Genomic DNA, 14,879 nt, shown 5'->3' with positions numbered 1-14,879 from the left:
CCTATTACATTTGCCTGAGAATAATTGCCATTTATTGCAGGCCAGCTATATTTAGGCATTATGATAGATGTTTTACATTATGTGATCTCCTTCAATTCAATAATCTTTTTCTTTTTTCTTTTTTTTTTTTTTGAGACGGAGTTTCGCTCTTGTCGCCCAGGCTGTTAAGCGATTCTCCTGCCTCAGCCTCCCCAGTAGCTAGGATTACAGGCATGCGCCACCACGCCCTGCTACAATTAAATAATCTTATGAGGTAATATTATCCCCACCTCGCAGATGGCTCAGTTGAAACCAAGAGAGGTTAAATAACTTACCAGAGGCAAGAAGAAAGTCCAAATGTCAACATTCGAATCCACGTATTTAACTCAAAAACATATACCATTTGCCAGAGGGAGGCTTCCGAGATACTGGTAGTTTTACATTTTGACCTGAATAGTGCTTACTTTTTTTTTTTTTTTGTCATTTTTACTTTTGTAAAAGTTAATCGAGCTGCATGCATTACATTACATTTATTTATTTATTTAACTTTTGAGACGGAGTGTCGCTCTGTCGCCCAGGCTGGAGTGCAGTGGCCCGATCTCAGCTCACTGCAATCTCTGCCTCCTGGGTTCAAGCGATTCTCCTGCCTGAGCCTCCCGAGTAGCTGGGATTACAGACGTGTGCCACCACGCCCGGCTAATTTTTGTATTTTCAGTAGAGACAGGGTTTCGCCATGTTGGCGAGGCTGGTCTCCAACTCCTGACCTCAGGTGATCCACCGGCCTCAGCCTCCCAAAGTGCTGGGATTACAGGCGTGAACCACTGCGCCTGGCCCGTATACATTACATTTCAATAAAAAGTTTTTAACGCCAGGTGCGGTGGCTCACGCCTGTAACCCCAGCACTTTGGGAGGCCGAGGCGGGCGGATCATGAGATCAGGAATTAGAGACCAGCCTGACCAACACGGCAAAACCCCGCCTCTACTAAAAATACAAAAAATTAGCCAGGCATGGTGGTGCGCCCCTGTAATCCCAGCTACTCGGGAGGCTGAGACAGAAGAAGAGCTTGAACCCGGGAGACGGAGGTTGCAGTGAGCCGAGATCCCGCCACTGCACTCCAGCCTGCGCGACAGTACGAGACTCCGTCTCAAAAAAAAAGTTTTTAAATACCAGAATGTTGTGGTTGTGAAATATGTACGTTATGTATTCATGCTATTATCCGTTATTACAAATAAACCATTTTAATTGTATATTTAAAAATCATGGCCACACGCAGTGGCACATACCTGTAGTCCCAGCACTTTGGGAGGCCGAGGCGGGTGGATCACCCGAGGTCAGGAGTTCGAGACCAGCCTAGCTAACATGATGAAACGCCATCTCTACTAAAAATATAAAAATTTAGCCAGGTGTGGTGGCGGGCACCTGTAATCCCAGCTACTCGGGAGGCTGAAACAGAGGAATCACCTGAACCCAGGAGGCGGAGGTTGCAGTGAGCCGAGATCGCACCATTGCACTTCAGCCTGGGCAGCAAGAACAAAACTCCGTCTCAGGAAAAAAAAAAAAAAAAAAAAAAATCATATATGCCATTTTGCAATGTGCTTCATAGGTTATAAAACCCTCCTGCATATTTTATCTCATTGGAAACTTGTAACTCTGTGGAATAGGTACAGACGAGAAAAGTGAGCCTGAGACATTGGGAAAATCTAGCACAGCCGTTCAAGTTATTGGTTTTGAGGTCTTACCAGCGTCCTTTGACCCTGCTTACTTTTAAAAAATATTTTATTTTATTAATTAGAGATCTGAAGCCTTACTATATTGCCTAGGCTGGCCTTGAACTCCTGGGCTCAAGCAGTCTCTCACCTCAGCCTCCCAAGTAGCTGAGACTACAGGCACAGACCACCTGGCTTGACCTTGCTTACTGGCTGAATAACCTGGAGCAAGTTACTTAATTTACTATGTCCCAGTTGCCTAATTTTTTTTTTTTTTTTTTGAAACGGAGTTTCACTCTTGTTGCCCAGGCTGGAGTGCAATGGCGCCATGTCGGCTCACTGCAACCTCCACCACTCAGGTTTAAGCAATTATTCTGCCTCAGCCTCCCGAGTAGCTGGGATTACAGGCATGTGCCACATCAGGCCCAGCTAATTTTGTATTTTTAGTAGAGACAGGGTTTCTCCATGTTGGTTAGGCTGGTCTCGATCTCCCGAACTTAGGTGGTCCACCTGCCTCGGCCTCCCACAGTGCTGGGATTACAGGCGTGAGCCACCACGCCTGGCCCCAGTTGCCCAATTTCTAACAAAAAAATAATAGTAGTTACGTCATAGTGTTTTGAGAATTAAATGAGGTAATGCATATGCAATACCTAGTATGTAATAAATAACCATTGGTTATTTCTACTTCACTTTAAAAGGTGTTCTGTAAATGTTTGATTAAGAAAGTGCAAGCATAATGTTCAAAAGTGATCCCGAGACTGAAATGCAAAGCTAATCTAGGGATAGGGGTGGCGGCTCATGCCTGTAATCCCAGCACTTTAGGAGCTGAGATGAAGGTTGCAGTGAGCCGAGATTGTGCCATTGCACTCCAGCCTGGGCCACAGAGCGAGACTCCAGCTCAAAAAAATAAATAAATAAATAAATAAAATAAAATACTGAGTGTGACCCATTAAATTGATCTTAACTGAATTAATTTTTTTTCTTTTTTTTTTTTTCTTTTTTTTTGAGACGGAGTCTCACTCTGTCGCCCAGGCTGGAGTGCAGTGGCCGGATCTCAGCTCACTGCAAGCTCCACCTCCTGGATTTAGGCCATTCTCCTGCCTCAGCCTCCCGAGTAGCTGAGACTACAGGCGCCCACCACCATGCCTGGCTAATTTTTTGTATTTTCAGTAGAGATAGGGTTTCACCGTGTTAGCCAGGATGGTCTCGATCTCCTGACCTCGTGATCCGCCCGCCTCGGCCTCCCAAAGTGCTGGGATTACTGGCGTGAGCCACCGCGCCCGGCCTGAATTAATTTTTTTTCAATCTCAGCTCACTGCAAATTCCACCTCCCAGGTTCAAGTGATTCTCATGCCTCAGCCTCCCGAGTAGCTGGGATTACAGGTGTGCACTACCATGCCCAACTAATTTTTATATTTTTAGTAGAGATGCGGTTTTGTCATGTTGGCCAGGCTGGTCTCAACCTCCTGACCTTAAGTGATCTTCCCGCCTCAGCCTCCCAAACTCCTGGGATTACAGGAATGAGCCACCGCACCTGGTTAACCCTGTGTTTAAAAAATAATAATAGTAATAATTCTATAACCCCTCACACTTTCTTTTTCTTTTTTTTTTTTTTGAGACGGAGTCTTGCTCTGTCGCCCAGGCTGGAGTGCAGTGGTGTGATCTCGGCTCACTGCAACCTCCGCCTCCCAGGTTCAAGCAATTCTCCTGCCTCAGCTTCCCAAGTAGCTGGGACTACAGTCGTGCACCATCATACCTAGCTAATTTTTGTATTTTTAGTAGAGACAGGGTTTCACCATGCTAGCCAGGCTGGTCTCAAACTCCTGACCTCGTGATCCACCTGCCTCGGCCTCCAAAAGTGCTGGGATTACAGGCGTGAGCCACTGCGCCCGGCATAACCCCTCACACTTTCACACACTAGTTTTAGCATCCATTGCTGAATTTTTTTTTTTTGCGTCAGTTATTAATACCATGGTTACCAATTGGTGCTTTTCTAATTTCATCATTTCTCCTACACTTATTAGTTGGTTTTCTAATGGAAGGAAGAAATTTTCCATCTCTTGGTTGGGCACAGTGGCTCACGCCTGTAATCCCTGTACTTTGGGAGGCTGAGGCCGGGGTGGGGGTCACTTGATGTCAGGAGTTTGAGAATAGCCTGGCTAACATGGTGAAACCCCATCGCTACTAAAAAAAAAAAAAAAAAAAAGCCTGGCATGGTGGCTCACGCCAGTAATCCCAGCTACTTGGGAGGCTGAGAGGAGAATCATTTGAACCCAAGAGGCGAGGTTGCAGTGAGCCGCCATCATGCCACTGCACTCCAGCCTGGGTGACAGAGGAGACTCTGTCTCAAAAAAAATAATAATTTTCTGTCTCCCTATTTATTTATTCACACAGTTACTATCAACATTTTTATTTTGATATTGTCACAAATTTGATCATTAGGATCTCCTTCAAACTGGCTCCTGTATTTCTTTGACATGGCCACATAATTGTTTGAGCACTTCCTTCTTAATTTCTAGCACAATGAGACATTCTACACTCCCTTTATATTGTCCCAGGCTAGAGTACAGTGGCACATTCATGGCTCACAGCAGCCTCGACCTCCCTGGGCTCAGGTGATCCTCCCACCTCAGCCTCCCAGGTAGCTGAGACCACAGGCATGTGCCACCATGCCTGGCTAACTTTTGTGTTTTTTGTAGAGATGGGGTTTTGACACGTTGCCCAAGCTGGTCTCAAACTCCTGAGCTCAAGTGATCCACCTACCTTGGCCTCCCAAAGTGCTGGGAATACAGGCATGAGCCACCGTGCCTGGCAAGTTCCTTTTATTGGTATTAGAAACCAAGACCAGAGTGTGAGGTATGTAATTGCTTCTAGGCCCTCTCAGCAGATAGTGCTGAGAAATGTACATACATCTACATGTACATATCTATCTATATCCATTTATCTTTATCCTTAAGTTCACCTTAAATGTCTCCAATTCTAATCTAGTAAAGCAGAATTTATTCTATCCATTCCCTTTTCTGTATTTTTGACACCCTTTTCCAATAGTGAGAATTCTGTCATTGTTCACAACATATTTACTTACTTGCTCAATCCTAGGATGTAGAGAAAGTGGCTTCAGAATTGCTAACCTATGTCTCTTTTAAAAAAGAAGTGTACTAATTAGATTCAATAATTTTTAGAATGCTGGCAGTTCTAGCTTTGCACAATAGTCTGGGGCCATAAAAAATAAGTGTGCTGGCCAAGTGCAGTGGCTCACGCCTGTAATCCCAGCACTTTGGGAAGCTGAGGCAGGCGGATCACCTGAGTAGAGGAATTTGAGACCAGCTGGCTAACATGGTGAAAACCCATCTCCACTAAAAATACAAAAATTAGCCAGGCATGGTGGCGGGCACCTGTAATCCCAGCTACTTGGGAAACTGAGGCAAGAGAATCACTTGAACCTGGGAGACAGAGGCTGCAGTAAGACAAGATTGCTCCACTGCACTTCAGCCTGGGTGACAGAGCAAGACTCCATCTCAAAAAAAAAAAGTTTGCAAGTGGAAACCATGCAAAGTGATATTAATAATCAATGTTAACATTGCTCTGTGACCTTCAAAAAATGTGAAAATATTCAACAGTCTCTTACTGTTGGGTGTAAATGTATAGAAAAATGAAAAACAGGCCAGGCATGGTGGCTCACGCCTGTAATCCCAGCACTTTGGGAGGCAGAGGCAGGTGGATCAGGAGATGACGAGATCAAGCCCATCCTGGACAACATGGTGAAACTCTGTCTCTACTAAAATACAAAAAATTAGCTGAGCATGGTGGCGTGCACCTGTACTTCCAGCTACTGCAGAGGCTGAGGCAGGGGAATTGCTTGAACCTGGGAAGTGGAGGTTGCAGTGAGCCGAGATCGAGCCACTGCACTCTAGTCTGATGACAGGGCAAGACTCTGTCTCAAAAAAAAAACAAAAATGAAAAACATAGTAAAACTAATATTTATTTGGTACACTGTAACTTAAAATATTAGAAACATTGAGGATTGGCTGGGTGCTGTGGCTCATGCCTGTAATCCCAGCACTTTGGGAGGCCGAGGCGGGTGGATCACGAGGTCAGGAGTTCAAGACCAGCCTGGCCAAGATGGTAAAACCCCTTCTCTACTAAAAATACAAAAGTAGCCGGGCGCAGTGGCAGGCACCTGTAATCCCAGCTACTTGGGAGGCTGAGGCAGGAGAATCGGTTGAACCTGGGCGGCAGAGGTGGCAGTGAAGCAATATTGCGCCACTGCACTCCGGCCTGGGTGATAGAGTGAGACTCCGTCTCAAAAAAAAAAAAAAAAGAAACATTGAGGATTAAAGTGCTTCATTTCTTTGTTAAAAATTCATCAAGAATAATAGGAGTCCAAAAGGCTTATTGGAAAAAAAAAAACTCATTACGAATAGTTTGAATAGTGCTTGCCTTCTTCTCTTATAATTTACAGTATAGTGATAGTGTGTTTTTCGTTCCTTAGCAAATTGTCGTACTCCTTTCTAAGTTTGCATTTTTTTTCTTTTGTGCTTTCAATGTTGTGAAATGTCTCTGAGACCTCGTATTTAATGCAAAGGTTTTTTTGCTGGCAACACTTCCTCTGGGATATCTTCATCCTTTTAATAACAACAAATTTCATCATTTATGTCAATAAATTTGCCATTTATGGGTGATTGAAATTTGACTTCCAACACTTTTCCTTTCGTTACTACACTTTCATGTTTGTTCATTAATTCTTTCTTCTGATTATTTATTTGTTTGTTTTGAGACAGGGTCTCACTCTGTTGTCTGGGCTTGAGTGCAAGGTGTAATTGTGTCTCACTACAGGCTCAACCTCCTAGGCTCAAGGGATCCTCCTACCTCAGCCTCCCAAGTAGCTGGGACTACAGGCTCGAGCCACCACACCTGGCTAATTTTTGTATTTTTTATAGAGACAGGGTTTCACTATGTTGCCCAGGCTGGTCTTGAACTCCTGGGCTCAAATGATCCACCCGCCCGCCTCAGCCTCCCACAGTGCTGGGATTACGGGCATGAGCCATTGTGCCAGCCTGATTATTCATTTTTATAAAATGTCATGTGAGTCACTGGCAGACAAGGAGACAAGACAACTACAACTGAATAAGGTAAGTACAATGACCAATCACCAGCTGACTTTGAAAGAAGTAAGATGCCTGGCGCAGTGGCTCATGCCTGTAATCGCAGCACTTTGGGAGGCCTAGGCGCAGGGATCACCTGAGGTCAGCAGTTCGAGACCAGCGTGACCAACATGGAGAAACCCCGTCTCTACTGAAAATACAAAATTAGCCGGGCATAGTGGCACATGCCTGTAATCCCAGCTACTCAGGAGGCTGAGGCAAGAGAATTGCTTGAACCCGGGAGGCGGAGGTTATGGTGAGCTGAGATCGTGCCATTGCACTCCAGCCTGGGCAACAAGAGCAAAACTCCATCTCAAAAAAAAAAAAAAAAGAAAGAAAAGAAAGAACTGAGATGATGGTTACCGATCACCAGGTGTCTCTTGTTTACTTAGAGATTTGTGGACTGAAGAGCTAGTAGCAAAGTTTATACTTTATGCAATTACAGTTAATATACTATGGTAACTACCTTTGAACCATGTTATTGTTGGACTGATGTTATTTAATTAAACTGTGGTAATTGAAATTCATACATGTCGGAACTGAACAAAGCAAGAACCTTCTGTATTTTTTGTGTTTAGCCTATGGATATATAGTCCAAATCCTATGCTGAAAAGTAATTTGGGTTAGTTCTTCCCCACCCCATCCTTCACGGTGGTTATCTTAATCATTTGAAGCACGGTTTGATTAATTTATTTCTCTTTGTATTCTATATATATATATATATATATATATATATATATTTTTTTTTTTTTTTTTTTTTTTTTTTTTTTTTTTGAGATGGTGTCTCGCTGTTGCCCAAGCTGGAGTGCAGTGGCGCAATCTCGGCTCACTGCAGGCTCCGCCCCCCTGGGGTTCACGCCATTCTCCTGCCTCAGCCTCTGGAGCAGCTGGGACTACAGGTGCCCGCCACTTCGCCTGGCTAATTTTTTGTATTTTTAGTAGAGACGGGGTGTCACTGTGTTAGCCAGGATGGTCTCGATCTCCTGACCTCATGATCCGCCCGCCTCGGCCTCCCAAAGTGCTGGGATTACAGGCGTGAGCCACCACGCCCGGCTGTGTTCAATTTTAGAAGGTTTCCCATCTTATTTTTAAATATAAAATTCAGAACTATGCAAAAAAGTATATTCAGGGAAGTGTCATACCCATTCCTTCTATCCTTTGTTCCACCCCATTCTAACCACACCTTTTTATCCTTTCTGTTTCTTTTTCAAATGTGCAGATAAGGTACAGTATATTTTCTTCTTTCTCTTTCTTTTCTTTTTATTTATTTATTTATTTATTTATTTATTTATTTATTTATTTATTTTTTGAGACAGAGTCTCACCTCTGTCGCCCAGGCTGGAGTGCAATGGCATTATCTTGGCTCACTGCAACCTCCGCCTCCCAGGTTCATGCGATTATCCTGCCTCAGCCTCCTGAGTAGCTGGGATTACAGGCACCTACCACCACGCCCAGCTAATTTTTGCATTTTTAGTAGAGACGGGGTTTCACCACGTTGGCCAGGCTGGTCTCGAATTCCTGACCTCAAATGATCCACCCGCCTCAGCCTCCCAAAGTGCTGGGATTACAGGCATGAGCCACCACGCCTGGCCTTTCTTTCTTTCTTTTTTTTTTTTTTTGAGATGGAGTTTCGCTCTTATTGCCCAGGCTGGAGTGCAATGGCACGATCTCAGCTCACCACAACCTCCGCCTCCCAGGTTCAAGCAATGCTCCCGCTGTAGCCTCCCAAGTAGCTGAGATTACAGGCGCACACCACCACGCCCGGCTATTTTTTGTATTTTTAGTAGAGATGGGGTTTCACCATGTTGGTCAGGCTGGTCTCGAACTCCTGACCTCGTGATCCGCCCGCCTCAGCCTCCCAAAGTGCTGGGATTACAGGCATGAGCCACCATGCCCGGCCAGCCTCTCTTTCTTAAACAAAAGGTGGCATACTATAGATCCTCTTTTTTTTTTTTGAGATGGAGTCTCGATCTCGCTCTGTCGCCCAGCCTACAGTGCAATGGCGTGATCTCAGCTCACTGCAACCTCCGTCTCCTGGCTCCAAGCAATTCTTCTGCCTCAGCCTCCTGAGTAGCTGGGATTACAGGCACACATCACCACACTCGGCTAATTTTTGTATTTTTAGTAGAGACGGGGTTTCATCATATTGGTCAGGCTGGTCTCAAACTCCTGACCTCATGATTCACCCACCTTGGCCTCCCAAAGTGCTGGGATTACAGGCGAGAGCCACCACACCCGACAGGTCCTCTTTTTTAAGTTGCTCTTTTTCACTTAACCATGTATCCTGGAAATCGGCCAGGCGAGGTGGCACACGCCTGTAATCCCAGCACTTTGGGAGGCCGAGGCGGGTGTATCACCTGAGGTCAGGAGTTCAAGACCAGCCTGACCAACATGGTGAAACCCTGTCTCTATTAAATACAAAAAACTAGCTGGGTGTGGTGACACATGCCTGTAATCCCAGCTACTTGGGAGGCTGAGGCAGGAGAATTGCTTGAACCCAGGGAGACAGAGGTTGCAGTGAGCCGAGATTATACCATTCCACTCCAGACTGGGCAACAGGAGCGAAACTCCGTCTCAAAAAAAAAAAAAATGTATCCTGGAAATCGTAACTGTCTTTAGAGAAATTCCTCATTCTTTTCTTTTTTTAGCATTGCACAGTACTCTATCTTGTGGATGTTCAATTGTTTATTTAACTACTCTCCTATGTATGGCCATTTAGTTTCCAGAATTGTGTAATTACCAACAGTGCTGCATTAAATAACCTTTTGTGTATGTATTTTTATATTGTTGGATTGTATCTTCAGAATAAATTCCCAGAAGAGTGATCACTAGGTGAAAAGATAAGTGGACATTTTGTTTTCCCAGGTGTTGCAGAATTCCCCTTCATAAAGTTTGTATCAATTTGCAATCCTGTCAGCAATGTGTGAGAGTGACTATTTCCTCACAGCCTCATCAACAGAGTGAATTGTTACTTCCTAAATTTTTGCCATTCTGATAGGTGAGAAATGGTATCTCAGTATGGTTTATTATTATTGTCATTATCATCATTTAATTTACATGTAATAAAGTTGAACTTTTTTGATGTACTTTTGTGAGTTTTAACACATCTTATAGATTTTTATTTTATTTTTGAGACGGGGCCTGGCTCTGTCACCTAAGCTGGGGTGCAGTGGCACAATTATGGCTCACTGCAGACTCCACCTCGTGGGCTTAAGCAAACCTCCCACCTCAGCGTACCCTCCCATTATCCCTTCCCCAGTAGTTGAGTCTACAGGCGAGTGCTACCACGCCCAGTTAATCTTTTATTTTTTGTATTCTTTTTAGAGACAGGGTTTTGCCATGTTACCCAGCCTGGTCTTGAATTCCAGAGCCCAAGTGACCCACCCGCCTCAGCCTAACAAAGTTATTTATTTATTTTAGAGACAGACTGTCACTCTGTTGCCCAGTCTAGAGTGCAGTGGCAGGATCTTGGCTCACTGCAGCCCCGACCTCTCTGACTCAAGCAATCCTCCCACCTCAGCCTCCCAAGTAGCTGGGACTACAGGCACAGGCCATAACACCTGGTTAATTTTTGTATTTTTTATACAGATGTGGTTTTACCATGTTGCCCAAGGTGGGGCTTTGTCTTTGTAGTGTTTTCCTGGCTATTGTTGCATATTTTTTTTTCTATCACGTATCATAGATGTATTGAAGTTTAAAATCAACATGTCTGTTTCCATGAAAAAGCTTGTATCTATTTGGCATTTTTTCTTTTCTGTTCTTTTTTTTTTTTTTTTTTTTTTTTTTGAGATGGAATATTGCTCTGTCGCCCAGGCTGGAGTGCAGTGGCACGATCTTGGCTCACTGCAACCTCCGCCTCCCAGGTTCAAGCAGTTCTCCTGCCTCAGCCTCCCAAGTAGCTGGGGCTACAGGCGCATGCCACCATGCTCGGCTAATTTTTTGTATTTTAGTAGAGACAGGGTTTCACTGGGTTGCCCAGGCTGGTCTCGAACTCCTGAGCTCAGGCAATCCACCTGCCTTGGCCTCCCAAAATGCTAGGATTACAGGCGTGAGGACCACACTCAGCTATTTGGCTTTATTTCTTTTGATAATTTTCATTTATTTTCCAATTTTTAAATGTGTGTGTGTGTGTGTGTGTGTGTGTGTGTGTGTGTGTGTGTGTGTGTGTGTGATCATGGTCTCTCTCTGTCACCCAGGCTGGAGTGCTGGAGTGCTAGGTGCAGTGATGCTGTCATAGCTCATTGCAGCCTGGAATACCTGGGCTTAAGCAATCCTACGCCTCAGCCTCCTGAGTCACTGGGATCACAGGTGTGAGCCATCCTGCCTGTCTAAAGTTGTACATATTTTTAAGTTTCTTGTTATATGTTAACTAATTTCTTTCTTTTCATTTTTATTTTTAATTTTTTTTCAGACAGGATCTCACTCTGTTGCCCAGGCTGGAGTGCAGTGGCATGATCACAGCTCACTGCAGCCTTGACCTCCTGGGCTCAGTGATCCTCCCACCTCAGCCTCCCAGGTAGCTGGGACTACATGCACGTGCTACTACTGTGGGCAATTTTAAATGTTTTTTATTTTTGTGGAGACGGGATCTCACTATGTTGCCAGGGTGGTCTGGAACTCCTGGGGTCAAGCAATCCTCCTGCCTTGGCCTTTCAAAGTTCTGGGATTACAGGCATGGACCAACACACCAGCCTAATTGCTTTCTTTAAGGTTGTACAGATTACACTGTCAACAGCAATAAAAAAAGGCCTATTTTCACTAAAATAATAACTTGACAATTTCAACATGTGGCCAAAATACAAATGTTTCTACCTTATGACCCACGAATTCCACAGCTAGAAGTATGGAAGTAATTATCAGGTATGCGCTGGCTTTCACAGGGTTGTCCTCTGAAGAATATGATGGTGTAATACCAGGTATTTTAGAAAGTGTAAGTGTGTTCAAGTCCATGAACGGGGATTATGGGAAAGGACTTCAATATTTTATTTTATATACTTTCTCATGTTGTTTTAATTTTTTGTTTTTGTTGTTCTGATAGAGTTTCTCTCTTGTTGCCCAGGCTGGAATGCAATGGCACGATCTCAGCTCACTGCAACCTCTGCCTCCCGGGTTCAAGCGATTCCCGTGCCTCGGCCTCCTGAGTAGCTGGGATTACAGGCATGCGCCACCATGCCTGGCTAATTTTTTGTATTTTTAGTAGAGATAGTGTTTCACCACGTTGTCCAGGCTGGTCCCAAACTCTTGACCTAAGGTGATCCACTCACCTCAGCCTCCCAAAGTGCTAGGATTACAGGCGTGAGCCACTGCGCCCAGCCTTAATTCTTTATCATATGTATTACTTTATATTGTGGTACAATATATCTAAAACATAGAATTTACCACTTTAGCCATATTTAATGTACAGTTCAGTGTCATTAAGTACATTCACACTGTTGCACAGCCATCACCACCCTCCATCTCCAGATTCTTTTCGTCTTCCCAAACTGAAACTCCAAACCCGTAAAACAGAAACTCTCCATTCCTCCTCTGCCCAGCTCCTGGTAACCAGGATTTTACTTTCTGCCTGTATGACCTTAACCACCCTAGGTATCGCATATAAGTGGAATCATATAGTATTTGTCTTTTTTTTTTTTTTTTTGAGGTGGAGTCTCACTCTGTTGCCCAGGCTGAAGTGTAGTGGTGTGATCTTGGCTGGGATTACAGGCTCATGCCAACATGTCTGGCTAATTTATATATATAATTATTTTATTTTATTTTATTTTGAGATGGAGTTTCACTCTTGTTGCCCAGGCTAGAGTACAATGGCGCGATCTCGGCTCACTGCAACCTCCTCCTCCCGAGTTCAAGCGATTCTCCTGTCTCAGCCTCCCAAGTAGCTGGGATTAGAGGTGTGTACCACCACGCCTAGCTAATTTTGTATTTTTAGTAGAGACAGGGTTTCATCATATTGGTCAGGCTGGTCTCGAACTCCAGACCTCAGGTGATCTGCCCGCCTTGGCCTCCCAAAGTGCTGGGATTACAGGCGTGAACCATCTCCTCCGGCCTATTTTTTATATTTTTGGTAGAGACAGGATTTCACCATGTTGGCCAGGCTGGTCTCAAACTCCTGACCTCAAGTGATCTGCCCGCCTCTACTTCCCAAAGTACTAGGATTACAGACATGAGTAGCCTCCTTGTGGTTTTGATTTGCATTTCTTTAATGATTAGTGATACTTAGCAGTTTTTCATATGCTGATTGGCCATTGCTGCTGCTTTTTTTTTTTTTTTTTTTTTTGAGACAGTCTTGCTCTGTCGCCCAGGCTGGAGGGCAGTGGCATGATCTTGGCTTACTGCAAACTCTGCCTCCTGGGTTCAAGTGATTCTCCTGTCTCAGCCTCCTGAGTAGCTGGGACTACAAGCGCATGCCACCATGCCCGGCTAATTTTTGTATTTTTAGTAGAGACAGGGTTTCACCATGTTGGCCAGACTGGTCTCAAACTCCTGACCTCAAGTGATCCGCCAGCCCACCTTAGCCTCCCAAAGTGCTGGGATTATGGACGTGAGCCACTGCGCCTGGCCCATTGCTTCATTTTTTATGAAATAATAAAATGTGGCTAAATAATATTCCACTGAGTGGATCAATGAGATTTTATTTACCCATTATCAGTTGATGGATATTGGAGTTCATTCTAATTATTTGTTACTATGAATAATGTTGGTATGAGCATTCATGTAAGAGTTCTTGTGTGAACATATGTTTTAATTTTTCTTTATATACCTAGGAGTGGAATTGCTGGCTCACATGGTAACTTTATGTTCAACCTTTTGAGAACTGCCAGAATGTTTCTCAAAGTTGCTGCACCATTTGACATTCTCACCAGCTATGTGTGAGGGTTCCCATTTCTCTACAACCTCCACAAAACTTTTTATTATCTGTTTATTATTATAGCCATCCTAATGGGTGAAGTAGGCCGGGCACAGTGGCTCACACCTGTAATCCCAGCACTTTGGGAGGTAGAGGCAGATGGATCACTTGAGGTCAGGAGCTCGAGACCAGCTTGACCAACATGGCAAAACCACATGTCTACAAAAAATAGCTGGGTGTGGTGGCATACTTCTGTAGTCCTAGCTACTGAGAGGCCAAGGCACGAGAACTGCTTGAAGCCAGGAGTCAGTGGTGGCAGTGAGACGAGATCATGCCACTGCACTCTGGCCTGGGCAACAGAGCGAGACTCTGTCTCAAAAAAAAAAAAAAAAAAACCTAATAGGGTGAACTAGCATATTATTGTAATTTTGATTTGCATTTCCCTGAAGACTTATGATGTTGACCATCTTTTCTTATGCTTATTGATATAGTCTCTTTGGAAAAATGTTTATTCAGATTCTTTGTCCATTTTGAAATTGGATTGCATGTTTTGTTTTTGTTTTTGAGATGAGCTGTCACTGTGTTGCCCAGGCTGTTCTTGAACTCTGACTATGTGGAATTACTGTAGAGCTCCACCAACATCCACTTGAGGCACTCTTTTTCAATACTATAGTCGTTTTTATTTCCAGCCCTCTGGAGTCTACACCTCCTCCATGTTTTAGAAGACATTTTCTTCCTTCCATTCCTTCTTGGGTCTTGCAGACTTCAGTATCTCAAACTTGACCAGACGTTGGGACTGGAGAAGGAGAGGTGGGGTCTGGTCCAGAAGCAATGGGAATACTTAACTTGGTTCACTGTTCCCCAAGGAAACACCATGACTTGATTTCCTCATCAATTCCCTAGACAACACATTCAGCATTTTCTTTTTTTTGTTGTTGTTAGACCGGGTCTCGCTCTGGCGCCCAGGCTGGCAATGAGCTACCACCCCTGGCACACATTCAGCTATTTTATTTTATTTTATTGTATTTTAATTTTTTGAGACGGAGTCTCACTCTGTCGCCCAGGCTGGGGTGCAGTGGTGCGATCTCGGCTCACTGCAACCTTCGCCTCCCGGGTTCAAGTGATTCTCCTGCCTCAGCCTCCTGAGTAGCTGGGATTACAAGTGTGCACCACCATGCCCGGCTAATTTTCGTATTTTTAGTAGA

General features: G+C 44.3%; 1 annotated feature.

The window, feature by feature from the left end:
- Positions 12,743–13,297: an enhancer, noted in NCBI's record as "NANOG hESC enhancer chr10:105114252-105114806 (GRCh37/hg19 assembly coordinates)". NCBI's record gives its function as "activates a minimal SCP1, AML or CMV promoter by ChIP-STARR-seq in naive H9 embryonic stem cells {active_cell/tissue: H9 hESC(naive)}" and the evidence as "EXISTENCE:reporter gene assay evidence [ECO:0000049][PMID:30033119]".

This window comes from Homo sapiens, chromosome 10 (assembly GCF_000001405.40).
Source record: "Homo sapiens chromosome 10, GRCh38.p14 Primary Assembly".
NCBI lineage: Eukaryota > Metazoa > Chordata > Mammalia > Primates > Hominidae > Homo > Homo sapiens.
This window is presented reverse-complemented; position numbering and strand designations above follow the sequence as displayed.